Here is a 27001-nt window from a genome sequence, read left to right on the forward strand (position 1 = left end):
CTTGAAAGCATGATTTAATATCTACCAGGAATTTTTGTTCAAATTTATTGAAAATATGTGACATTTGGACTACTTCTGTTTAAATAGTCTTGAAATTTGGGGTACAGTAAAAACCTCAGTTTGTTCAACTTCCAGTGCAACCAATCACACTGAGAATGTAAAGTCTCAGGCCCTCAAATAAGATTTCATATATCCAGCTGTCTGACTGTAAATGCCAATTAAAAATCATTTTGTAGCTTCTCTTTTGTCCATGTTAAAAAGATATCAAGGACTTAATTTTTTACCTGCATTTCTGATAACAAATTAGTTATTCTAACCCATCTCAGAATCTGACAAATTCTTAGGTTCAGTGCAAAATTTCTCTTGCCTATTGTGTTTCGTTATTTGAAACAACCTACCAAGACAGACCAGTATTTTATATCAATGGCTTTAAAAAGCACATGACAATGTGCTTATATAGCATTGTCACACAATTTTAAGACATCATCTATCTTTAAGAATCATTCTTCTAAATCTGCACTGATGCTCTCAGGTCATTGTAAAACATACATTTTCAGATTCACAGCATTTTAAAAGCTTCCAAGAGTTAAAGCTTTGAAAGCTTTTAAAATGGTTTATTGATCTAAAGTGCCAGTTGAGAAGGTCTAATTTATGTTTCCCAGTTATAATAGTATTGTCTATAGTAATCTATATTCTTCTATCTGTAGTAATCTATATCCTTTTGAAGTTTGACAAGTTCATTTTCCACTATATTTATACCACTCCACTTATTCCATCATTTCCAAGGTATTCTATCATAGCTAAAACCCAAAAATAAGTAAAAGGTGGAAGAGGCACCGTGTATACAAAAGTATAATGATTTCTTTCATTCTTTATTTCAACTAAGGTAGATGACATAAATTTCCCATTCAAACATGGCATCAATAGGAGACTTCATTGACTACAATGAATCAAGGTTTTCTAAAACCTTCAATAGCTAATTTACACTGAGTTAGCTGTACATGAAGGACGGAATTGAATTTGAGTAAGTTATTTTATTTTTTAAAAAAATAACAAATGAAAACTAATTGTACTTCATTATTCCCAGGAGGCAAAGAATTATCAAGGTACAATTTAATGATGATGAATTCTACCCCAAGAGAAACATTAGCCCTATGGATTTACTTCTCAGTATTTTCATTACTCCATATGCATTATATATGCATTTAAAAATTTATATACATTTTTATGTCATTTAAGCAAAATATAACTTGACAATAGGAAATACCTCTTGAGAATTACTGTCCCAGCCATATAAAGAGGGTAAAGATAAAAATCAACGACAATGCAGATCTTGCAATACAATCATAAATATGATTTCAAAGTTAAATTTTATGCTTTTTCCAGACCATGTTTGTTAGAAATTTACTAGAACACTCTTCTGGAACCTCTTTCCTACAGTTATGTAAGTTGGATAGCATTAACAACTTTAAGAGAGAACTTTGTCACTCATTTGACGAAGAACAAGCAATATATTCATGAAATATAAGGCACTAGTGCTAAAACGGTGATCATTTATGTGGCATTTTATGCTTTCTTTATGTTTTCTTTATAACACATATCACAATTTTCATTTCTTTCATGTGTGCTTTCCTAGTGGTCATTTGCCTTACCTTTCCTTTGATGATAAGTTCCATGAGATCATACTGATTTTGCTCACTACTATGGTACATACTGCCAGATGGTAGCTGACACAGACTAGGCTCCCTTTAATACCTATTGAATGAATGGGTAAAAAGAAGCATATATTTGTCAGACATGTTTCTCATGGGTCTGTTGTGAAAGTCAGTCCATTTGAACTTGAACACCTCTGGGATATACAAAGAAAGAAAAATAATGAGACAACAAAGGATTTGGGGTTTAATATTTTGTTATGTCGCATAGCTGTATGGTAAATTTGGAGAGTATGCTGTTCCCCAAACTTGCTCCTGACACATGGTGACTATTTCCACCATTATTTCTTACACCCAAAAAATAAATAGAGCTGTAGATGCCGCAAAAGAGTCATTCTGTTGTTGATATGAACAATAAAATGAAAAATAGGAACTAGATTACAACCAGAATACGGTCAAATGGTTTGTTTTATGATAAAATTGAGTCATTATCCTTACTTATCATTCTCACCACAAACCCCCCAAAATTAATATTTCAGCTACTGTTATTTATTAAAATACTAATCACTGACATAATTTTTAATTAAACATCATGGCATTAAACCATGCTTGCAGAGCACCATTCAACTAATCCTGCATGTGTCCTTAGCAAAGAAATTCCAGCTGCCACTATTTGATCAGTTAGCACTGGCACTGAGATCTAGTTTTCACTGTTCTGGTCACTCTCCATCTTATTACATAATTGTCAGGTTTGAGAGGACATGTTCTTCCTACTATAGTAAAAGAGCTGGAATAATTCACAAATATAATGCAGTGGTAAACTAAAATGCATTTCAACATTGTTGGAAGGCATATAGAAAGTATGTAAGGAATTTTGCAGAAATAAATTTTACAATATTTTTTGTAGCGTGGAAATTGAATCAAAATGTTAATGTTTATAATATTCTTGACTAACGCATATTGTATATTAATCTTGAAATGCATAAATAGTTTTTGTGAATCATAAAGAAAACTATAAGAAAAGATATAGCTCAATGGTAATTACTTCTTTAGTAAAATGTTTTAGGAGGAAAACTATGTAAGTGTAATCAATAATGCGGTGACTTTTTACCTGGAATTTTAACAGGATTCCAAAGTAAGCATACAGAAAAAGCACTACAGGTAAAATTTATTCAGTACCCAATTCAAAAGAAAATAATTACAGTAAACTATTTTAAACCTCACATTTTCAAGATGTCATAATGTGGTTAGCTTTTTTTTTTTCTTGAGACAGAGTTGCGTTCTGTCCCCCAGGCTGGAGTGCAGTGGCATGATCTTGGCTCACTGCAGCCTCTGCCTCCCGGGTTCAAGCAATTCTCCTGCATCAGCCTCCCAAGTAGCTGGGATTACAGGCGCCCACCACCACACCTGGCTAATTTTTGTACTTTTGGTAGAGACAGGGTTTTGCCACATTGGCCAGGATGGTCTCGACCTCCTGACCTCAGATCCGCCCACCTCGGCCTCCCACAGTGCTGGGATTACAGGGTGAGCCACCATGCCCGGCTAAACCTGATGTTTTCAAGATGTCATCATGTGGTTAGCTTTTTTTTTTTTAAGACCTCTACTGTATTGATGAATCACAAAACTTTGTAATATAATGGAGAGGAACCATGAAACTATTTTGCACCACACAAAACCTCAACAGTTATCTCCATTACTCACTAATTGAATCATTCATTCTAGTGTGTATTTATTGAATTCATAACATTCAAAGAGTTTAAAATAAGTAGCATGTTTTACTTTTACAGAAGATAATGTTCCAAATTGGCAACAATTTTGGTAGTAATAAATAATCATCAATTGTAGGATATTAAGCAGAGCCTTTTGAAAAATATAAATTACATTTAATCAACCTTTTTAAAGAAAAAGTGACATTTCAACAAGTGACAGTGTAATTGATTATTTTACAATAGTATTTTATTTTTCTATTTATTTATTTATTTTTTATTTTTTGAGATAGGATCTCACTCTGTCGCCAGGATGGAGTACAGTGGTATGATCTTGGCTCACTGAGGCCTTGATCTCCTGGGCTCAATCAGTCCTCCTACCTCAGCCACCCAAGTAGCTGGGATCACAGGTGTGCGCCACCATGCCAGCTAATTTTTAAATTTTTGTGGAGATGGAGTCTCCCTATGTTTCCCAGGGGGAAAAAATTGAAATATCAGTCCCAAATCAACATGTCCTGTGCTCTGTGATAGTAGTTCCTGTCTGAGAATTTTAAGGGGACATGGACTTGAGAGGTTTAAAAACAGAAGCTACTCACCAAGCATTATCTTAAATTCCTGGGCTCAAGTGATTCTCCCACCTCGGCCTCCGAAAGTGCTGGGATTACAGGCATGAGCCACCACACCCAGCCCGACAGTTTATTTATTTTTTTAAATGCTTTCATCATTAAGTGTTCTTTTTCTGCTGAAAATAATATATCACTACTTTCAAACTCTTATATTCATGTTTGAAACTTGGAAACAGAATTTCTTCTCCTCTGAAAAACCTCTCCAAGATCTCTCAACACCTAGCACCCAAGTTGTGTTTCCTAAATGCTATTCTTCAGTGAAAGGTGGCTTTGAACCTAAGCTTAAAAATGTTAAAACCAACAACTTCTGATTACTTTTCAAAAACATTGACTGATTTCAGAGAAAGATAAATTAATTAACTCAATTTCATTGAAAAATGTACATAATCACAATTGAGATTGAAGATCAGGCACCATTTTTCTTTCCTTTTCTTTTAGAGATAGGGTCTCACTCAGTCACCCAGGAGTGGCGCAACCTTGGCTCTCTGCAACCTCAAACTCGTGGGCTCAAGCAATCTTCTTGTCTCAGCCTCCCAAGTAGTTGGGATTACAGATGCATACCACTGCACCCAGCTAATTTTGTTAAATTATTTTTTATGGAGATGGGGTCTCACTGTATTGCCCAGGCTGGTATCAAACTCTAGGCCTCAAATGATCCTTCCACTTCGGCCTCCCGAAGTGCTTGGATTACAGGTATGAGCCACCACACTTGGCCAAGAATAATTTTTCATAAATCATTTTATTTAAATATCTGTATTTTCCAATATTATTATATTAAATAAGACAGACACTAAAAGCAAATATTGAAAAAAATTAAATTAAAAAATAGATTCAAATTTTCAAAATAATGAAATATATTCAATCATGTTGCACTCACTAAAAATGTTAGTACATTATGCTAGTGAAAGCAATGGTGTTTTTGCATTGTTAATAAAAAATAAAATTATTTTATATTTATCTCATCTTTCTGAAGTTACATATATGTTCAAACTTTATGTGAAAGTTCGAATATATATATAATATATTATGACTACATGTAGTTAATGTGTTATAAATAACTATCCATATATGTGAATGCCTATGTTGAGGCTTAGAAAACGATACCCCAAAGTATGGTGCTTTGGTGTGCTGAGCACTTTGAACTAAAAAAAATTAAAAGGCCTTAGAAGCAGCCTCAGAACCAATGACTGTCTAACCTTTATTTCTCCCCCTAAGTGCAGGATGGAACACTGTCTCTGAAGTTCCCTTATCTGTAGCTCTTTCAGAAGGAACATAATTGCCTTGAATCCCCTTCCTGAGATTTCATTAACCAGAGCATTAAACTCACGTGGTAGGAGGGAAGACTAAGGAATGTTACCACACCTGTCCCATTCCATTTCCAAAGAGAACCATTTACAAACTATTGTCTGTTCTTTGGGCTCAATCAACTCTCCTAAAGATTATTTACTACCTCTCCAAATTGCCTCCATTACCCCATCTCCCTCTGCTCTATGAAGAGGGTGCTATTTAAATTCTACCCATTTAGCCCTTCTTTGAGTCGCATATTTCACATGGCTCCCATACACACTTGCACATTTACAAATCTGTATGCTTTTTCTGTTAATCTATTGTCAGTTTATTTCAGCAAACTCAAACCTTCAGAGAGGAAGTGAAAAATCCCTTTTTTCCTATACTTGTTCAAAAATGTTGTACTGATAAGAATGAGGAATCAAAAAAATGGAAATATCAGTCCCAAATCAACATTTCCTGTGTTCTGTGATAGTAGTTCCTGTCTGAGAGTTTTAAGGGGACATGAACAGGTTTGAAAATGGAAGCTACTCACCAAGCTTTATTACCCTTATCTTCACGCATTAGCAGAAACTTGTTTTTGTGGGCTGCTTGTAATTGTCAGTTTATTATCAAGTCAATGTGGGATGCTTTGTGATGTAATTTAGAGCAGAGAAAAGTAAGAACTAGCAGTTGCCTAGAATGGGGACCTCAGCCATTTTTTATCATTCAACCTCTCCATCTATGTGATGAGACAACTCCTTGACAAAGGAATTAACAGACACTGAGAAAGATTTTTTTGTGCCTCCTGGCAGAGTAAAAATCCAACTCAGAGTAGTAAAAAACCTGTATACTCCATGCCTGAAGTTATGAAGATCTGGAAACTGCAGATGGATCTGAGGGGACAATGAAATAAGAATTCTTTCACAGGAGCACTGGAGAAGCAAAGATCCTAGGAAGATAGCTATGCTAACTTGTCTAGAGAGGACAGAGCATCTGTATACCTCTGCCTCCCACCCCAGCCTTAAGAGACTTAGAGGCTTTAGGAACAAGACAACTAAAAAAGGGCATGTCACCTGATTTTCTGACACCCTCTTTAAACTAAAAATAAAATCCCAAGCCCCCCAATTCACCGAACAGACCCCCTCTTGGCCAAGGAGACCCAAGAGAAATCTGAAAAACTGAGTTCTTAGCCATCACAGGAAGATTGAACACGCCTTGTTACATGCCATCCCTGCTAGCGTTTAGACAAAACTGAGTAGCATTAGTGTTAAAATAGAGATCATAAGGCTGACAAAACAGACTCTTTGTGACACTAAGATACCAGCTTATAAACAAGACCCTGAGTCCATGCAAGGCCAAGGGTTAAGTCATGCCTGTAGGTCATTAATCTTACTACATGACATCCTAACCTTAAATTAAAACCTTCCGGCCAGGAGCAGTGGCTCATGCCTGTAATCCCAGCACTTTGGGAGGCCAAGGCAGGTGGATCATGAGGTCAAGAGATCGAGACCATCCTGGCCAACATGGTGAAACCCTGTGTCTACCAAAAATATAAAAAATTAGCTAGGTGTGGTGGCACGCACCTGTAATCCCAGCTACTCGGGAGGCTGAGGCAGGAGAATTGCTTGAACCCAGGAGGCGGAGGTTGCAGTGAGCTGAGATCGTGCCACTGCACTCAAGCCTGGGTGACAGAGTGAGACTCCCTCTCAAAAAAAACCTTCCTTTCTGCTGATTACAAGTTTTAAACAGAGGTTTACTTCTTTAACCAGTTGCAAATAAGAGAATCTCTGAATCCACTTATCACCTGTAAGCCCCTCATTTCAAGATATCTTGCCTGCTCAGGCCAAACCAACATATACTTCCCATGTGTTGATTTATGTCTTTGCCTGTAATAACTCTTGTCCCTTTAAAATTCATAGAACCAAACTGGAATCCAACTGCCTAAGGCACACTTTCTCAGGACCTCTTGAGACCATTTTCCCTGGGCATGGTCACTCATATTGGCTCAGAATAAACCTTTTTAAAATATTTTAGAGTTTGATGGGTTTTTTGTTGTTGTTAATACCCTACTCCCTCTTTTTCCCTTGCAAACTTAAAATGCTTTTTGACTTCGGAAAATTAACAAGACTCTTAAAACAAATATTTAATCTTTGTGCAGCTGAGGCAAACAAGGTAATATCCAAGACAGATAGAGGAAGGTAATGGCTTTTCCCTCTGATCATAGGAAGTGTGAGGAAAAGCAGTAATGAGCAAAAGCAGATCCAGCAGAAAATCCATGGGCTCTATCATCCTGACCACTCTCCCAAGTGAAGAGCTTGATTTACATCCTGAGGGACTGGGGAGAGGGAGAGGGAGAGGGAGAAGAAAGAAAGAAGAAGAAGAGGAAGAAGAAGAAGAGGAAGAGGAAGAGGAAGAAGAAAGAGGAGGAAAAGGAGGTAGATGATGCCACCTATTACTCAAGTTATATAATGATGACCCAGTGACATGAAATTAAATTGTTACCAAATGCCAGGGGTTTGGTCTAGATCCCATTGCTCACCATACAGAATGCCAATGCCTGATACAAGAAGTATTGCCAGGAAAGAAGACTTTATTTGTGAGCTGCAGTCAAGAAGAACAGGAGATAAGTCTCAAATCCTTTTCCTTGACCCACTAAAATTTGGGGCTTACATAGCAGAGAAGGGATGTCACTACATGCAGGAATACAGGAATGAGGGAGGGGTAAGGGAGCAATCACGATGGGTAAGAGACCTTAGATCTCATGGTCTGGATATGGTGATCTGGTGAGTTTCAGTCCCTTGCGTGAGGGTCTGTTTCCTGAGGAAACCACTCAGATGAGACACATATAAGTTTCAAGTTTTAAGAGTGGGAGGGTTAATTTCTACCTTTATTCAAAAACCCATAAATATTTCAAAGGGACAACTGGGCCTTTCAAAAAGACTGGAGCAATTTAGTCAATTCGCTCAACAATTCTAATCTACCCCAACAGCAATCTAGAATAGAAATGGGCAAACTGTAGCCCGCAGATAGTTTGGGTGGGCAAACTGCATCAAACACAAAAACTTTATCTCAGTACTAAAGATCAGATTTCTGTTGCTTCATAAAAGTGCAAAAATATTAACCATTAATTTTTAATTAAAGCCAGTGTGAATGTTCTCACCAACACTATTCTAGTCAATTGCATAGGCTGTACATATTTTTAAAATGTGTATTCTCTTATGGGACTGCGTAAAATTATTTTTATTTTGAGAGGAGAAGTTTTGTTTTATAAGTTTTTTATTTTTCCTGAATTAGCATTTATTAGAAAGAGAGAAAAAGTTGCTCAGCTTCTATGTACCACGCTCAAATAAAAGGAATCAGGGCTCCTTGGAGAAATGGCAGATTCCATTGTTGGACGGGGAGAATACAAGTCAAGCCTGAGTCATCTTCTGGTGTCAGAAATAAGGAAGTGCTCAAAAACGTATGGAAGCTGTCCAAGGAAGAGAAGCTAACTGGAAAGAGCTCCAATGGCCAAAGTAGGAACAACCTGAGAAACAAATAGATGACATTATTGAGTTAGTACTTCTAGAATATAATAAATATCCATGAGTCCATATTGATATAAACACATAATTGAGTGAAAAATAAATGAGGAGAAGGGATAACTCTTCCTCATAGAAAAAAAATTAACTAATAAGTGTAGAAGTGGGGGAAGTACTAAATCACCATTGGGCGAATATGACAGTAATAATTGTTGAAGACAAGAGCCACTGACAAATGCTGAAAAAGGGTAGGCAAAGATTTGAGGAGAAACAGGGTATTACAATAGTCTCATAAATCTTCCCCAAAATTGTGATCAATTGTGAAGATAAAATAGCAATTTTATAGTGGATAAATCCAGCACATACTATCCTATTTATGTGATTATTTATGTGATTATAGTTGGTATTACCAGTAATAAGACATCAAGGTCATGTACCCCCTGAGAAGGACCCAATGTCACTTCTGTGTTATTTTTGGTAAAAATACATAACAAAAATCTAGTCATGAGAAAACATCAGAGGCATTTTACAAAGTAACTCAAACTCACTGTCTCTCACTAAAAGCGTCAAGGTCACAAGACAAAGACACAATGACAAACCGTCACAGATTAGAGGAAACTAAGGAGGTATCACAACTAAGTGCAATGGAGGAAGCTGGGTTAAATTCAGGAGAAGAAAAAGAACATTAGGGGAAATACTGGTAAAATCCTAATAAGATCTATTGCTCAAAACTATGGTATCAATCTTAATGCCTTGGTTTTTGATCATTGTACAATGGCTATGTCAGTTGCTCACATTAGGGAAATATGAGAACTCTGAGCAATTTGCACTTTTTCTGTAAGTCTAAAATTATTTCAAAATAAAAAGGGATTTGTCTTTAGTTTGTTTGTTTGTTTGTTTTAATGGTGTTCATCACTTGTTTAGCATTGATAGCCAATCTATGTGAAGGGAATTTACAATGATGAAAATCATTTCTATTAAGTACTGTGGAGAGAACAGATAAATGAAGAGCACTTCAAAAAGTGATTTAGCAAAACAATGAATAATGTAAATTGTATGTGTGGGTCGACAGCTGAAGTGCTTCAAGAATGCTCTCAACAGAAGAATAAATGTTGACCATTTTACTGGAACAGTAGACACAAAACCATCCATGTGTATATAACGATGAAATAATTAATAAAGGTAGCTAATTTTTATTGAATCTTACTTGCAAGGCACATAAAATCTCCCGAAAAGCTGACGAGTTAAATATATTTTTTGACCTCTTCACACAGTCAAATAGCTTCCACAAGGTTATACAGATAATAAGAAGCTGAGCTGTGATTTTAACTCAGGCTGATGAAGCTCCAAGCCAATACACCTGACCACTAGGCTACATGATATACCTTTGATCTCTGAGCTTTAAGTTTATTCTGTGGCAGAAATGCTAGGTTTGCATTTTACCACTTTCCATTGCTCCTAATGAAGAGCAGTAGGCATCCATGACTAGAGAAAGAGCTCCCGTTAGTGATTATAAAACAGTTTTTTTCTCTTTGAAAAGCAGAAAATGATCACAACCTTGAGTTCACAGTTACCACTCTCTAACCCTTTCAGCTAAATTGGCCAGACAACTCTAATGTCACAGGTGTGCTGTGACAGCAACTTCATCCAACTGAGCAATAGGCCCTCTCCACAAGTTAAGCTCAGTCTAATATTAGAGGGTGCCATGCTCAACCAATCAATACAAGCAGAGGAATAAGTCCTAGCCAATTTAGTGGCCATTCAGCTGATTGTAGTTTGCCTTTTGTAATTTTGTTATTTTGGGCTTTGTTTTATATATATAAAAACTTTAAAATGGCCCTAATTTTCCAGTCCCTGGAATTTCAAAAAGAGCATGGAAGGTTTCCAAAAATGCAGCCTAGAATTGCAATCTACGTGTTGTGCTTTAACATATAAGCACATTCATTAATGAGAAATTTGAAGGAAATAAATGTCTGGTTCTCATCTCTACAGAAACAGCACACAAAAGTTTTAATAAATGCTATATTTAATATAAAATAATTATGTCTTGTTCTACTGCTGTTATCAACATTAGTCTTCTTCATAGGTAAACTTGCAAAATATGCCATTAATGTGTTGAATGATAATATCTTTTTAAATTTAAACATCTGACTTTTTTCCAAATTCATAAAATGAAAAATCAGAGGGGTTTTCCAGTCTATAAAATGTGGGAGAAGGAAGAAATTAACACAAGTGCTTAACCACAAGCCCTCTGAACATTCCTAACCCACTGGACTAGAAAATCTTAAGAGGGCTGACTTCTAAGATATGCAGTACCTAGTGGTGAGGGCCAGCCCGGAGAAGTCATAAGAATACTAAGCCAAGTGTTAATTCCCTAATCATCCCACTATTTCAAGCTCTGGTGGAGGGAATAGAGAAGGGTCATTTCTGACCATTGAGGGACTTTTTTCTAGCAGTTTCTGCCAAAGTTCGAAATAGCAGTCACATGATTTCTGGTCAAAATGATGAACTTGTGTGAACCTCAAAAACACTGAAAGTTCATCTCAGTTTGGTGATCTAACTGGAAGTAATTTTTAAATAAGAAAATATTTTTAAGTCCATGGAAAAACACTAAACTCATTATTGTTTCATTTCTCTTTTATAAAAAATGTGATGTATGAAAAACTGAGGGTCTGCTTTAATTTGACAATAATATATTTTCTTCAGCTTTGATTTGAACTGTTTTAAAGATCTGTATACCTGGGACTCAAGAATCTCCGATTCAATGCTAATTAGCTGAATGCTACGGGCAAGTCATTTAACATCTTTGGCCTTTGGTCTGTGTCTGCAAAATGAGAGTGTGTAAATAAATTCTAATGCACAGTTTAGTCACCAAAAAGAATTCTAAATTTAAATTTTGTATTTGCAGAAAATAGACATTGACCATTGACATTTTAGTGCTGATGCGGATGAGTTCTTTTAAAGTTTCATAAGTTTTGAACTACAGCTTTTTTTTTGTTTTCTCTTAAGTGGTTAGAAAAAGAATTCTACAGATGACTTAAAATGGTGTCAGTTAGTTCATCCACATCAATAATTGCTGAAAGAAAAGCAACTTTCAATATTAAGTTGAAAATTGGAAGCTGTAGGTCATATTGACTGCTTTACTTTTCTCTAATGATTCTGTTTTGTACTATGTTGTATGTATAAAAAGACCTTTTTCTAAAAGTCTCTCGAGTACTAAACACACGGTTGTTGAAGCTTTATCATGAGGCTCTCAAGAAAAAGAGGGTAGAGGAGTATTTTATTTATAATTGAATCACAAAGTGTTATGCACATTTGTAAAGGATGCCTTTTAAAAATCTGTTTTGCTCTTAATATTTATTAAACTCATCCACACATAAAACTCCTTGCCTTTCTTTCTTATCCGTGTCTATTTCTTCTTATAATTCCCTATCCTAATGGCTATGAAAACACAGGCATATGACTGGAAATAAATCTTTAAATAAAGAAAGAAAAGTCACTCAAAGGAGAATGGAGATTAATAGACAGCATAGTCGGTTTCCTGTTTGGAACAGCCTCAGCGAGTTTCTTTTTCCTCCTATTCTCTCCTGAAAAATGGAACCACAAAAGACCAAGGCTCAGTGAACATTCTTTATGTTTTTTTCATGTAAAATAAATAAGAAATTTTTGATGCCCATTAGCTTTAATAGAGGGCAGAACTTTACTTCTACTGATCATAATTCTTTTACTTTTAAGTGAGAATTTGGACTGACTATACCATATGTGAACATTGACACAGATACTGCCCGATGATAATCACATCAAGGTTCACTGTAGTGATTCTGGCTCTGAAAAGTCTATTAGAGTGATGGCCATTCCCACTTTGATATCTAAATGTATTTTCAAATTCAATCAATGTAGGCCAGGCGTGGTGGCTCACACCTGTAATCCCAGCACTTTGGGAGGCTGAGGTGGGTGGATTACTTGACGTCAGGAGTTCAAGACCAGTGTGGCCAACATGGTGAAACTCCATCTCTACTAAAAATACAAAAACATTAGCTGGGCGTGGTGGTGCACATGTGTGGTCCCAGCTATTTGGGAGGCTGAGGCAGGAGAATTGCTTGAACCCAGGAGACGGAGGTTGTAGTGAGCCGAGATCACACCACTGTACTCCAGCCTGGGCAATAGAGTGAGACTCCATCTGAAAACACACACACACACACACACACACACACACACAAAATCAATCCATAACTAGATGTATGCTTTTCCCTACAAAATAACTCATATCTTTTGACTCCCCCAATAATGTTGATTCCACTACTACTCTTTAAATCAACCAGGTGGTTAAACATTGTGTCATCTTTGATTTCTGCCTTTCCTCAACATCTCAAAGCACTGCTCATCAAGCCCGATGGCTTTCCTCATGATACCTGCATCTCTTCACCATATTTCTTCTTCTCCAGCCACTGTGTGAATTCAAAACCAAATCACCACTGAGTTCCTGGCACACTAATTTATTTACCTATTCATGTAGTAATGCCAATAAAATTAAGCAGTCAGAGCAAAATAAGGAAAAAGTAACGACTATGTTATTTGCAGAGATATGAAGAGACGTAGGGGAGGGATGGAGATTTTAAATGATGGACATAGAGATTAAATACAGGTAGGGATGGGTTAGGGACACAGATACGGTGCAGATACAGATTCCGGTGGAGGGATTTTCAACAACTTGGTACCTACAAAATTGTAGCAGTATACTTGATAAAAGACATCTTTATTTTTTCAAAGAAAACATTAAGTAAGCTTGAAGATGCCTGGAAAAGGGATATTCAGATTTAAATAGGATCCCAAGGTCTTCTGGAAGGGAAGAGATCAAAACTCAACATTTCCCAAAAGTTTTTATGCAAATTGGGATAGACAGAGAAGGCCCAACCAGGACCCAGTGGTGAAGAAGCAATAAAGAAAGTGAAGGGCAACAAATTCCTAAGATAAAATCCCTGTGAGAATCAAAGAGTCAGGTAACAGTGGTGGTCCCTGAACCTGGACGTGGTCATTATGAGAAGCTATCTGTCTGAGTCTATGGTGCATCCACTCTGGCCCCAACTCAGACCTGTGAGCTGCAGATTGTAACCACAGAAAGTAGGTGGTGGTGGAGTCAGAAAATGCTACCCCAAAGTGAAGGCCTCAGAAGCAAAGTTTCTCTTTGACTTTCTTCTGCCCTCCTGTCTCACTCTCATTCTGCCCTGAGGCAAGACACAGAAAATAGAATTTCTCTTCCCCAGGGTAGATCATACAAAACAGAACCCTTTTTCCCCAAAGGCAGCCATAAAGTGAAAAATATTACTCTAATTTTCCTCACCTTTCTGTGTCACAGCTGGCCATAACGAAACTCTCAGCCTGGGCAACATATCAAGAACCCACTTCAACAAAAAATAGAAAATAAAAATAAATTAAGCAGGTGTTGTGGTGCGTGCTGGTAGTCCTGGCTACTTAGGAAGCAGAGGCAGGAGGATGGCTTAAGCCCTGGAGTTCAAGGCTGCAGTGAGCCGTGATTATTCCATTGCACTCTCATCTGGGTGACGGAGAGAGACCCTTTCTCTAAAAAACAAACAAACAAAAAAACTCTATAATCCCAGCACTTTGGGAGACCAAGGTGGACAGATCACCTGAGGTCAGGAGTTCAAGACCAACCTGGCCAACATGGTGAAACCCCATCTCTACTAAAAATACAAAAATTAGCTGGGTGTGGTGGCGCACGTCTGTAGTCCCAGGTACTTAGAAGGCTGAGGCAAGAGAGTCATTTGAACCTGGGAGGCGGAGGTTGCAGTGAGCTGACATTGCGCCTCTGCACTCCAGCCTGGGTGACAGAGCGAGACTCCGTCTAAAACAAAAAAAAGAAAGAAAGACAGAAAAAAAAAAATTATTTGACTTACTTTGTCGATTATGAATCTTAAAACCCCCGTTCCAAAAGGGTCAGGCCCCAGAAGTCCAGGAAGACTCCAAACAGATGGGCCTTGCTGGGCTTCCCCCTCATTCCACTGCTATAAGATTAGATCCTTTTTGGCCAGACACAGTGATTCACGCCTGTAATGCCAGTGGGTCCGGAATTGGTGGGTTCTTGGTCTCACTGACTTCAAGAATGAAGCCGCGAACCCTCGCAGTGAGTGTTACAGTTCTTAAAGGCTGCGTGTCTGGAGCTCGTTCCTTCTGATGTTCGGATGTGTTGGCAGTTTCTTCCTTCTGGTGGGTTCTTGGTCTCGCTGGCTCAGGAGTGAAGCTGCGGATCTTCGAGGTGAGTGTTATAGCTCTTAAGGCGGCACGTCTGCAGTCGTTCGTTCCTTCTGGTGGGCTCGTGGTCTCGCTGGCTTCAGGACTGAAGCTGCAGACCTTCACAGTGAGTGTTACAGCTCATAAAGGCAGTGTGGACCCAAGGAGTGAGCAGCAGCAAGAATTATTGCAAAGAGCGAAAGAACAAACCTCCCACAGCGTGGAAGGGAACCCCAGCAGGTTACCACTGCTGGCTGGGGCAGCCTGCTTTTATTCTCTTATCTGGCCCCACCCACATCCTGCTGATTGGTAGAGCCGAGTGGTCTGTTTTGACAGGGCGCTGATTGGTGCGTTTACAATCCCTGAGCTAGACACAAAGGTTCTCCAGGTCCCCACCAGAGTAGCTAGATACAGAGTGTGGATTGGTGCATTCACAAACCCTGAGCTAGACACAGGGTGCTGATTGGTGTGTTTACAAACCTTGAGCTAGATACAGAGTGCCCACTGGTGTATTTACAATCCCTGAGCTAGACATAAAGGTTCTCCACGTCCCCACCAGACTCAGGAGCCCAGCTAGCTTCACCCAGTGGATCCTGCACCGGGGCTGCAGGTGGAGCTGCCTGCCAGTCCCACGCCATGCGCCTGCACTCCTCAGCCCTTGGGTGGTCGATGGGACTGGGCACTGTGGAGCAGGGGGTGGCCCTCGTCGGGGAGGCTCGGGCTGCACAGGAGCCCACTGGAGGTGTGGGGAGTCTCAGGCATGGCAGGCTGCAGGTCCCGAGCCCTTCCCTGCCCTGCGGGAAGGCAGCTAAGGCCTGGCGAGAAATTGAGCACAGCAGCTGCTGGCCCAGGTACTAAGCCCCTCACTGCCCAGGCCGGTGGGACCGGCGGGCCGCTCCGAGAGTGGGGACCGCTGAGCCCACGCCCACCCGAACTCGCGCTGGCCCGCAAGCACCGTGCGCAGCCCTGGTTCCCGCCCACGCCTCTCCCTCCACATCTCCCTGCAAGCTGAGAGAGCCAGCTCTGGCCTTGGCCCGCCCAGGAAGGGGCTCCCACAATGCAGCAGTGGGCTGAAGGGCTCCTCAAGTGCCGCCAAAGTGGGAGCCCAGGCAGAGGAGGCGCTGAGAGCAAGTGAGGGCTGTGAGGACTGCCGGCACGCTGTCACCTCTCACCAGCACTTTGGGAGTCTGAGGCGGGAGGATCACCTGAGGTCAGGAGTTCGAGACCAGCCTGGCCAATATGGTGAAACCCCACCTCTACTAAAAAAAAAAATATATATATATATATATTAGGTGGGTGTGGTGGCACGTGCCTGTAGTCCCAGCTACTCAGGAGGCTGAGGCAGGAGAATTGCTTGAACCTGAAAGGCAGAGGTTGCAGTAAGCACTCCAGCCTGGGCAACACAGCAAGACTCCGTCTAAAAAAAAAAAAAAAAAAAAGATTCAACCCTTTTTGTTCAATTGTATTTCTGCAAAGTTGTCTCTGCTTCATAGAACCTAAGCATCAAGTCACATCAGATAGCTTCTGGTATCTTTTGAGTCTTCAATCTGAAAGCTCCCCTGTCATGTAAAACTATGATGAAATAAATGTGTTATGCTTTTCTCTTCATTATTTTTTGTTATAGGAATGTCAGCACCAGCTTTATGATGGGGAGGAGACGGATCACTCTTTTCTGCTCCTACATTGTTCTCATGAGCAACTCAAATTACAGTTTGATAAAAACTAAATGTTGGAAACTCATCTATTTGACACGGAGGGACAATACCTGCAAATGAACACCAGGAAAGAAGCATTCTTCTTCCCCTCTGAGTATTCACAGCCAGGCCTGCAGTAGAAGGATATTCCAGTAGATGCCAGAATGTTCATTTCAGTGGCTACATACGCCTCATTTGCCACAGGGTCCACATCAGACCTGTGAGTACTGGCAGCCCAGGAACAGCGGCAGCTGCATTGAAAGTGAGCCCACCTCGTGAACAATGGTTTCCTTCCCTTGCCCTTTCCTTTTCCTTTTTCCTTTCCTTGCCTCTCCTTTTCTTTTCTCTTATTCATCATACAATAGTAATCAGGACTGATTGCTTGCAGACCGAGTAAGTCTTGTGGTAAGAAATCGACAGGTTAATGGAAGGAATAGGAGATCAGGGAGAGAGAATGCTAACTTGGTATTTCAGGAGTCTATCTGAGTCAACTTTCACACCCAAAATGTTAAAAATGGACCATTTGACTTATAAAGAAAATGTTAAAACCCTCTGGGGAAAATGGTGGCCTGAAACAATTGGCACATTGCAAATAATGCAACTTTTAATGCTGAAGGAAAGAAGCTGTTCTTTCGAGTCTGAAGACTTGATTCTATTCTTACATATGACAAACTCTAACAATGGATGACCTTAAAGTTTTGATATTTTACCTATGGTTCTCATTTAAAACAGAAAAAAATCATTACCGGATAATAAGTCAGACTGTTTTCTTATCTGCCTTGATCAAGAAAAGTTAGATGTTGTCAGTGTCTTTGAAAGTTCTGCTAGGAAGCAAGATATTCCCAGCAGTTTACTTGAGCAAATGGCTTCCGTTTAGCCTAACGGTTTCTTAGGTTTCACTTTTAAATCCTGTGTTAAACAGAGCAAGTCACTGTCATTCAAACTTTTCCCAAGCTGTATGGGGCTCTATTGCTGTTGTTTAACGAAATTCAGAGGCTAGTGTAATTAGACCGCAGGGAAGGTAGGTCAGGCAGTGCTGTTAACTTGGCTGGCAAAGTTGATGGGTCAAAAATGTTTTATGTTTTTCTTCTTTTTTCGCACTAAATAAACTCGGTGTAAAAATGTTTTGCTTATAGTGCTCTTCTATTCATTTAACATAAACATTTGTGTATTTTAATTCTGTCTGTTCTAAAATTCTAATTTCTTCTATAAATTAATCAAATATGAAATCTAAGCCAGCAAAGTATGTTAGAGGAACAGTGAGTCAAGTTTTATAAAAATTAGGCAGGTATGGAACAGAGCTTTAAAACTGTATGATATTTGGAGGGAATGGAGTAAGAAACAGAAACCAGTTTTCTGAAGGGTATTTATTGTTATTATTATTAAATAAACACATTATTGCGTGTTCTGTGAGCAGTTCTTTCTTGATAGGAATACTGACAATACCTGTTATATTATTATGAAATTAAACTTATCTCTTTTCAAAAATAAATTCACACACCGTGACCCCAAAGTGTGAAGGATCACAAGATGTGTGACAAAGAATGCATTCAGCAAGGACTGGTAAAGTGCTGGAAACCCCAAGGGACGTGAGTTATATTTCATGGAACTGAGTCTAGGATTTGGAAATTATTTTGCAATTATTTATTGTTGGTCTCGAGAGTGTACGTTTCATGTATTTCTTCCTTTTTACCCAGAATGTAATTTTGCTTGGTGGTGACCATGTGAGAAAAATAGCACTGTGGGAAGCGTTCTTGTGCAGTTTTCACTGTAATCCGATCAATACAATAAACAGTTTGAAAGCTATTCATCATACAAAAATAAACAACTATTAGGTAGCTGTTGGTCCAATGCTCATAAACATGAACAATTTACACAAGAAAGAAAGTATACTAACAGGAAAAAAAAGCCATAGACAAATAACAAATTATCTCCTAAGAAAATGTTTTATTTCGGATCCGCCCCCCACCCCCAACACACATTATATTAAAGCATCAGGAAAAATGGCAGTGAACCAATCATCGTGAATGACTAAAATACAAATTAAAACCTGGGTTAATCATGGGGAAAAATCAGGTAAAAATTAAAGCAGGATTATACTTGGGTTTTCACTAGCAGGGTATTCTAGGATGGAATTATGTATCAGTCACCAATAAGTAGCTCTGGCATGTTCACCCCGTGTTTGCCACCTGAATGTTGTTTGCACCAGACTCACATTTATCATTTTCATGCTTTGATATCAGAAACTGGGAAGTCATACTTGACTCTTATTTTTTTCTTGCTCTATCTCATTCAAGCATCACTTCTAATTTGGCCTCCCTACTATTTCTTACACGTGTTTCTGCTTTTCCGTATCTCCTATCACTTGACTGGTTTACGTTCCATTATATTTTACTTCAATGGCCTCCTTTGATTCTATCTAGCATCTTATCTCCCCTAATTCATTTTGAAACAGCCAAACATCTCCCCAGTAAGATACAAATGTGCGGCCGGGCGCGGTGGCTCACGCCTGTAATCCCAGCACTTTGGGAGGCCGAGGCGGTCGGATCATGAGGTCAGGAGATCCAGACCATCCTGGCTAACACGGTGAAACCCCGTATCTACTAAAAATACAAAAAAAAATTAGCCGGGCGTGGTTGCGGGCGCCTGTAGTCCCAGCTACTCGGGAGGCTGAGGCAGGAGAATGGCTTGAACCCAGGAGGCGGAGCTTGCAGTGAGCCGAGATCACGCCACTGCACTCCAGCCTGGGCGACAGAGCGAGACTCTGTCTCAAAAATAATATTAATTTAAAAAATTAAAAAAATACAAATGTGCAAATGTCAGAGTACCCTTGTTTATGACACTGAAACGACACATGTATAACACTTCCACGATCTGGCCCATGTCATTATCTCTTGCTACTCTATCTCAGACATTAATTTACCAACTTAAAAATACTTGGGCACATATGTGCCAGGCGTTGTGCCATACATTATAGCATCTTCAGAATTTAGCATAGTGTTTTCAACATAAGAAGAACTCAATAAATATTCTACCCTCTAAATATTTCTTGAAGGGACTGTTTCCATTCCATGCACGCTAATACCACCCAGCCCAAGTCAGGGTCTTGTTCGGATACTCACCAGCTTCCTAATTCTAACACCTAACTCTAATCTAATCTCTACTTCCTATGGCCAGAGGGATTAAAATTAAAATTCTGGTCATGTTATTTCCAAACCTAAAATTTTGCAAAGGGTCCCCAATGAATCTATGACAAATTGTAAAATCCTAACCTGATTCATAAGTCCTTACATGTACCTTCCTTCAGGCTTACTCTTAGTCTCTCTTTCTCCCTCTCTACATTCCATTGCTTCTCTTTCTCTTTTCTTTGTTAAATCCTACTTATCCATCAGGTCTCAATTTAAACACCAATTTCTTTGTGTGACAGTCCCTGGCCCTCTTGACTAGGTTAAATTATTTTTCTCTGCATTACCATGGCATCACTTCGTGGAGCTCATCACACTTGTAATTACTTGCTTAATGTCTGTAACTTCCTCAGAGACACTTTCCCTAATCCCCTTGATAAGGGGAAGTATAGGTATCAAGCACTCTCAGAGGTCACTGTATTTCTCTTTAGCATACATCACAGCTCAATAATTGTTTTGTTGAGTTGAATTTCAGATACATCTCCAGTCCTCAGGGAACTTTGAGGCTTGGCTGTACCAGTACCTCTGTTACTCCTAGAAAATTCTTTCTCATTGTTTAAGTCTCAGCTCTCCTGTCAGCAACCCCAGGAGCCTTTGCTCATCGAACTTCACATCACTCCCAAGCTGAATTCGATCTCTCTCCTCCATACTCACATCCTACCTTATGTACATTTCTGTCATTGCACTTGCCAGAATCTACTTCAGTTATCTGTTTATGGGTCTGTCTTCCTGGAAAGTAGTTTCCTTGAGATAAGGGATGATATCTTATGTTTTGCATTCCATACATAATAAATATTTCTTGAATGAATGCATGAGTGAGTACATGTAAAATAGGAATTAGATGACCTCTTGCTGCCAAGTAATATGCATCCTGTAACAGGAATGAGGGCCATCCCAGCAGCAGTGCTGTGTGGACTGATGGACAGGGCCTTCATGGACTCACACCCTAGGCTTTGACATTTTGTGGATATAACCCTGACTAGACTGAAATTGTTTTTGAGTCCCTTATAAAATGAGTTACCAAAAGAGCATTTAAACTGAATGATAAAATAGAAATAAAATTATATTCATTTCAATCATAAATCTGTACAATGAGAATTGTATTCCCTAGATATATACATAAATACATACCAATATGGATATAGAAACAGATATACATATAGGTATAGGTATAGTGGTGGTAGAATAATAACCCCCAAAGATGTTCACATTCTAGTCTTTTGTGCCTTATATGGCAAAAAGGACCTGCAAGTATGATTGCAGTGAGGATTGTTTTGCAGATATGATTGTAGTGAGGATTGTTTTGCAGATATGATTGTAGTGAGGATTGTTTTGCAGATATGATTATGGTAAGGTTCATGAGATGGGTAGGTTTTCCTGGGTCTTCTAGGTGGGCCCAATATAATCACAAGGGGCCCTGTGAGCAAGAGGCAAGAATGTCAGAGTCGGGGAGAGATCTGAAGATGCAACACTGCTAGCTTTCAAAATGGAGGAAGGGACCAGGAGCAAAGGAAGGCAAGTGCTTCTATGAACTTCAGAACACAAGGGAATAGATTTTCCCTGAGAACCTCCAGAAAGAACACAACTTTGCTTATAACTTCATCTTGGCCCAGTGAGACTTCTGACCTATAGAACTGTAAGATGATAAAGTTGTTTTGTTTTGAGCTGGTAAGTTTGTTGTAATTTGTTACACCAGCAACAGCAAGCATATACGTACATGTATATGTCAATGCATATGTATTTGTATATGTGTATATGGTGCATATTTGCTAGTACTCCAATACCATTGCCTTTACATTGCTTAAGAACCTAGAGGCAGGTGCCAGGCACAGTGGCTCATACCCGTAATCCCAGTACTTTAGGAGGCAGAGGCAGAAGGATCGCTTGAGCCAAGGAGTTCAAGACCAGCCTAGGCAGTACAGTGTGAGACTCCATCTCTACAAAAAATAAAAAATTAACCAGGTGTAGTTGTGTGTACCTTTAGTCCCGGCTACTCAGGAGGCTGAGGTGGGAGGATCACTTGAACCCAGGATGTCAAGCCTGCAGTTAGCCATGGTTGTGTCACGGCACTCTAGTTTGGGTGACAGAGTGAGACCTTGTCTCAAAAAAATAAAAAGGTCTAGAGTAAGAGACAGACAACAGTACACGTATCATCATATACTTAGACCTGTGGTAGGTGCTAAGAAAAACCATAGTGACTAATGAGAATATTGAACATCCACCATGCTTTCCTTGTCAAGAGAATTAGGAATTACATTTGCATGCACACACACTTTTCCCACTAGTCCAAAGTTACAGACACAGAGCTGGTCATCTGTTTATATTTCATGAGGTTGATTTTGTATCATTTATATACATTCAATAAATAATTGTTTGAAGAGAAGTAAGAGCACAGGAATTTTTGAATATGGCACTTTACTTGCAAATATATTTTACTTATGTTCACATTGCCAAGGCAGAACTAGAGAGTTTTCAATCATGTTTCTAAAAGAAACTACTTCTGGGCGCAATGGCAATTTCAGCACTTTGAGAGGCCGAGACGGGTGGATCACATGAGGCCAGGAGTTCCAGACCTGCCTGGCCAACATAGTGAAACCCTGTCTCTACTAAAAATACAAAAAAATTGGTTGGGCATGGTGGCATGTGCCTGTGGTCCCAGCTGCTTGGGAGGCTAAGGCATAAGAATCGCTTGAACCCAGGAGGTGGAGGTTGCAGTGAGCTGAGATCACAACACTGCACTCCAGCCTGGGAGACAGAGGGAGAATCTGACTCAAAAAATAAATAAATAAATAAATAAATAAATAAATAAATAAATAGTAAAGAAAAGAAACTAATAGAGATTGTAAAAATAAACATTTGAGCCTAGAAGAATCTTAAAAGAGTTTATCAATTTGGAATATTTCAATATCTATTATGAGACATCCCCAAGTCCCCATATATTGCTCTGACAGAATATTATGCTAATTAGCACAGTTAATCTCCTTTCCATCCAAGACATTTTATTTTTAATTAGTTAAAAATATTTGTGGTTATTTCTCATAGAAGAATTAAAAATAAACTCCTTTATATATTTTAAGGTAACATTGTTTCAAAAACAATAATAGTTACATAGGTAAGTATTTCTTCATTATATCTAAAATATCATGATTGCTTTTGTTGTCAGAAATAAAACCATCCCCCTTGCTGACAACCAGTCACATTTCTTCCAGGGAAAGACTACCCACAATCCTGCAGAATTACACAGTGTGTATTAAATATAACACAGATAATTAACTCAGAGAACTGACAGTCATTTGTTGGCATACTCAAATAAAAACTGTAGCATACCCCTCACAATCCCAACATTCTGCACTATTTTATCATGTGTTGCGAGTTCTTGTTGTTTTTATTGGCATAATTAATTACTTGTATAACTGGAAATGTGCAGAAAACATACATGAACCATTCATCAGAACTTGCATCACACATTACTTTTTAATACACTCATTCAGGAGATATGTAGTGAAGACCACAGAAGACAGATACTAGAAGAGTTTTTTGTTTTTTCACAGTTTGCTCAAAAAAGAAACTAGAGCATTTGAAATGATGGTCTTTTAAAATATGTTAACATTATAGGTCAGAAAGTCTGAGGCTAATCTTTTATCTCCTGCAAGGGTTTTGTGATTAAAGGAGAAATAACTACTTGATATTTTTTTCTGGTCTTATAAGATTGGGTTTATATTCCCAAATAATATCGAGGAAGAAACAGCCTTTAAAGGATTTAATCTAGAGAAGTAAATCAAAGAACTGAAGTTCAACTTAAATGGTCGATTGAATTTGAGATATCTAAGTCTAATCTTAATTCTGGTGTAGATCTCTTAAGGACAAGACCACATAAGTATTCTTTTTTTTTTTTTTTTTTTTTTTTTTTTTTTTTGAGACGGAGTCTCGCTCTGTCGCCCAGGTCGGACTGCGGACTGCAGTGGCGCAATCTCGGCTCACTGCAAGCTCCGCTTCCCGGGTTCACGCCATTCTCCTGCCTCAGCCTCCCGAGTAGCTGGGACTACAGGCGCCCGCCACCGCGCCCGGCTAATTTTTTGTATTTTTAGTAGAGACGGGGTTTCACCTTGTTAGCCAGGATGGTCTCGATCTCCTGACCTCATGATCCACCCGCCTCGGCCTCCCAAAGTGCTGGGATTACAGGCGTGAGCCACCGCGCCCGGCCAAGTATTCTTAAATGTTATACAATATCTATGTTTAATGACTATATTCACTAGAATTGTAAAGATTCAAGATATTCTCATAATATTTAAAACAAATTTTTAAAAATATAACTTTCTATAGTGGCAGAATATATTATCCAAAGATGTTATATTCTATTAAATTATTTCCTAAATATTAATAGATGGTACGCAAAAATGTATTCTGTGTCAAATATGCCTGGAAAATCTTGATAGAAAGTATTGATTTTTTTTTCACTGCAGGACTTATTAGAGTCTTGAAATGTTAATGAGTATAGTGAATTTCCAAGAAAAGAAAAGATATAACATGCAGTGCTTCATCAGCTAGGATACTCAGTCCTAGTTCTCTTAACTCTATAATCCTGCCTTCTGCAACAGGTAAAGGGTTCTAAGTTGAAATGATGCTGCTTCCAAGTACAGCCAAATTCTCTAAAACAATCTGAGAGTTACATTCTCATGTCTTACCAGGAATTCTAGGTACAGAGAATACTTGTTGGAATCCGAGTTATGGATCCTAACTGAAATTAACTTCAGTTATTTATGGACCTATAGAGCATTCATTCATCCTATGTGGGATTGACTCCTCATTTTTGGGGGTGTCCTTCTGTTTTAATTACCCCTTATGTGCCCCATCAGGGAGGGAGGAGTTCCTGTCATATGGTTATGGGGAGGGCCAAATACACGACAGCCAACACTGGTTGGACAAACTCAACAATTGTGCATGAGCTCACAGCCTGTGTGGGAGGGCACTCCATGCCATGCAGGACCACATGGGGGCTGAGCTTGAGAGCAGAGGGAACAGCAAGGGACTGGGGGAGGCAGATTTTGCAGTATCAAGAAGATGAGGTGCCCCTTGGTTCCCACAGGAGTATGCGATTGGCTTGTTTGAATAATTTTGCAGGCTGGCAAAGAACTGAAACCCACTACTCAGGGATAAGCAGGAGCTGTGCCTGGGCCCCTTGGTAAGAAGGGTTGCTTGGCTAGGCCCTTATCTGCAGAGCACAGTCAGAAAGGAAACTTGCAGTTAGGCTATTCAAGGCCCACCTGGCAACACACGTCAAGGCAACACATAACACTGAATCTTGATCTGGGCCTTCCACCACATCCCCTTTCATCCACACCCAGTGCAGGTGGTTGGATAAGGCTTATCCAACCCCTAGAACCAGACGAGGACGGGTGGCCTTGGTGTAAATGTCTCAAAGCCCCCACCCACAGAGATTAGTTCAGGAATAAATTTGTCAGCCAATTCATGCCAATTAAAGCCAAACTGAGAATTGTGTAAGGGTACTATAGGAAAGAGATATGCTATTTTCTGATGAAGTAACTGCTCTCAGTGAGAGTGATGTGAGCCTGGTATTCTGAAGGACCTGATGCAGAGCCTGAAAATGAAGCCACCATGTGAAAAGCAGGGCCTAGAAATGGACACGGAAATAGAACAAGGTCAGCTGACCTTGCTAAATCTGTATCCAGTCATCCCTGAAACCTCTCTACATCTGGACTTTCCAGGCATGTAAAACATTCCTTTTCCATTTCTGATTAAGCTGATTTGAGTTGAATTTTGTCACCTACCATTTTAGTAGTTCTTACTGATATGTGAACTAAACTGAGTTAATGCCTGCACACCTATAATGAATGGTTTTGCATGAGGACCACTTCACCACGTTACTTCTGGCAATATTTTAGAGAAACTCTGCAGTTTCCTCACTCATAACCTGAACCAAATTATGGTTCCCTTTCCACGTCACCTCATTAGATATCTCTTTAAATAATGTTATTGCTATACAAGCTAAAGCAGCATTACCACTACTACAAAATAAACAATCTTTGATGGCCACCCGCACAAAAAAAATAAGAACATAATGAGAAAGAAATGAAGGATAACTACCGTGGCATGAGTCCCTTTTAGAAGATAGTAGTCGATTTGATCAATTCATAGTCAATCCACAAATCTCTATCATAACTTAAATAAATATCATAAAATCTTTTAAAACACCCTCAGCTCAATACTATGAAATGAGAAATGATTTTTCAAACTCTGAGCAGGCAGGTGGCACTTTTTGTTCATAAAGAAGAAGCACATGTGGTACAGGGAAGGACAAATAAAATGTGATGACTATTGCTCAACAAATAACTTGGAAACACAAGTAAATCAAATGTTAGAACTTGTATTTCCAACTTTGAATGTTTTCTTAAAGAAAACATGAGCAGAATTATCAACAACATCTACACAGTCTTTGGTATATTCACCCAGATAAATCCTGCAACTCACAGCCACTCCGCAGTGACTTGAAGCAGCAGAACTACTCTTAACATTTACACTTGCTTGATGAGAAGATGTTGAAATACTCACAAGTACACTTACTAAATAAAAGAAATGGCAGTGCTCACCGGCTACCTCCAAATGTTGACAAGGGACACAGAGGTACATGTGGCAGATGCTTTCAAAATGCTAAGTTGTACATGAAAGAAAATGAAGCCAGATTTCTAGTGTTTCTTTATGCATCTTGATCTACATTGGCTTATCTATCAGAAATACAGTTTATAAATATAAAAGAAAAAATATGCTGTCAGAAAGCAATTAATAGAGATTAATCTGAATTTAGAAAGTAACAGTATCAGATGACAAGGAACCTTAAGGCCTGACTTAGTCATTCCTTAATATTTTACTCTGGTGATTATGAGCACTGAATCAGTAACTTATGAAATATATTAATCTGCTAATTTTGTCATTTCCTTGATGAATGTGAGAGAATTTCAAAGGGAGATTATGAAGGCACTCACATATACTTTGTCAATGTACCAGAAGGTTTTCAATAAATGCAGTGTGTAGCCAGGTGCAGTGGCTTATGCCTGTAATCCCAGCACTTTGGGAGGCCAAG

General features: G+C 39.0%; 1 long non-coding RNA gene across 5 annotated transcripts in view; it reads right to left on the minus strand.

Moving 5' to 3' along the window:
* Positions 1 to 1159: 1159 nt before the first annotated feature.
* LOC105377557 (uncharacterized) overlaps positions 1160 to 27001 on the minus strand; it is an 88225-nt gene continuing 62383 nt past the window's right edge. For 2 of the 5 annotated variants that reach the window (XR_007058380.1, XR_007058381.1), the window contains exon 2: positions 8512 to 8779. This is a non-coding gene — a long non-coding RNA (uncharacterized LOC105377557). Of the gene's footprint in view, positions 1756 to 8511; positions 8780 to 14115; positions 14341 to 14689; positions 15270 to 27001 lie in introns of those variants that run through there. The other 3 variants (XR_001741925.2, XR_007058379.1, XR_007058382.1) reach the window with 3 other exon arrangements.

The sequence above is a fragment of the Homo sapiens genome, chromosome 4, assembly GCF_000001405.40.
Source record: "Homo sapiens chromosome 4, GRCh38.p14 Primary Assembly".
Lineage (NCBI taxonomy): Eukaryota > Metazoa > Chordata > Mammalia > Primates > Hominidae > Homo > Homo sapiens.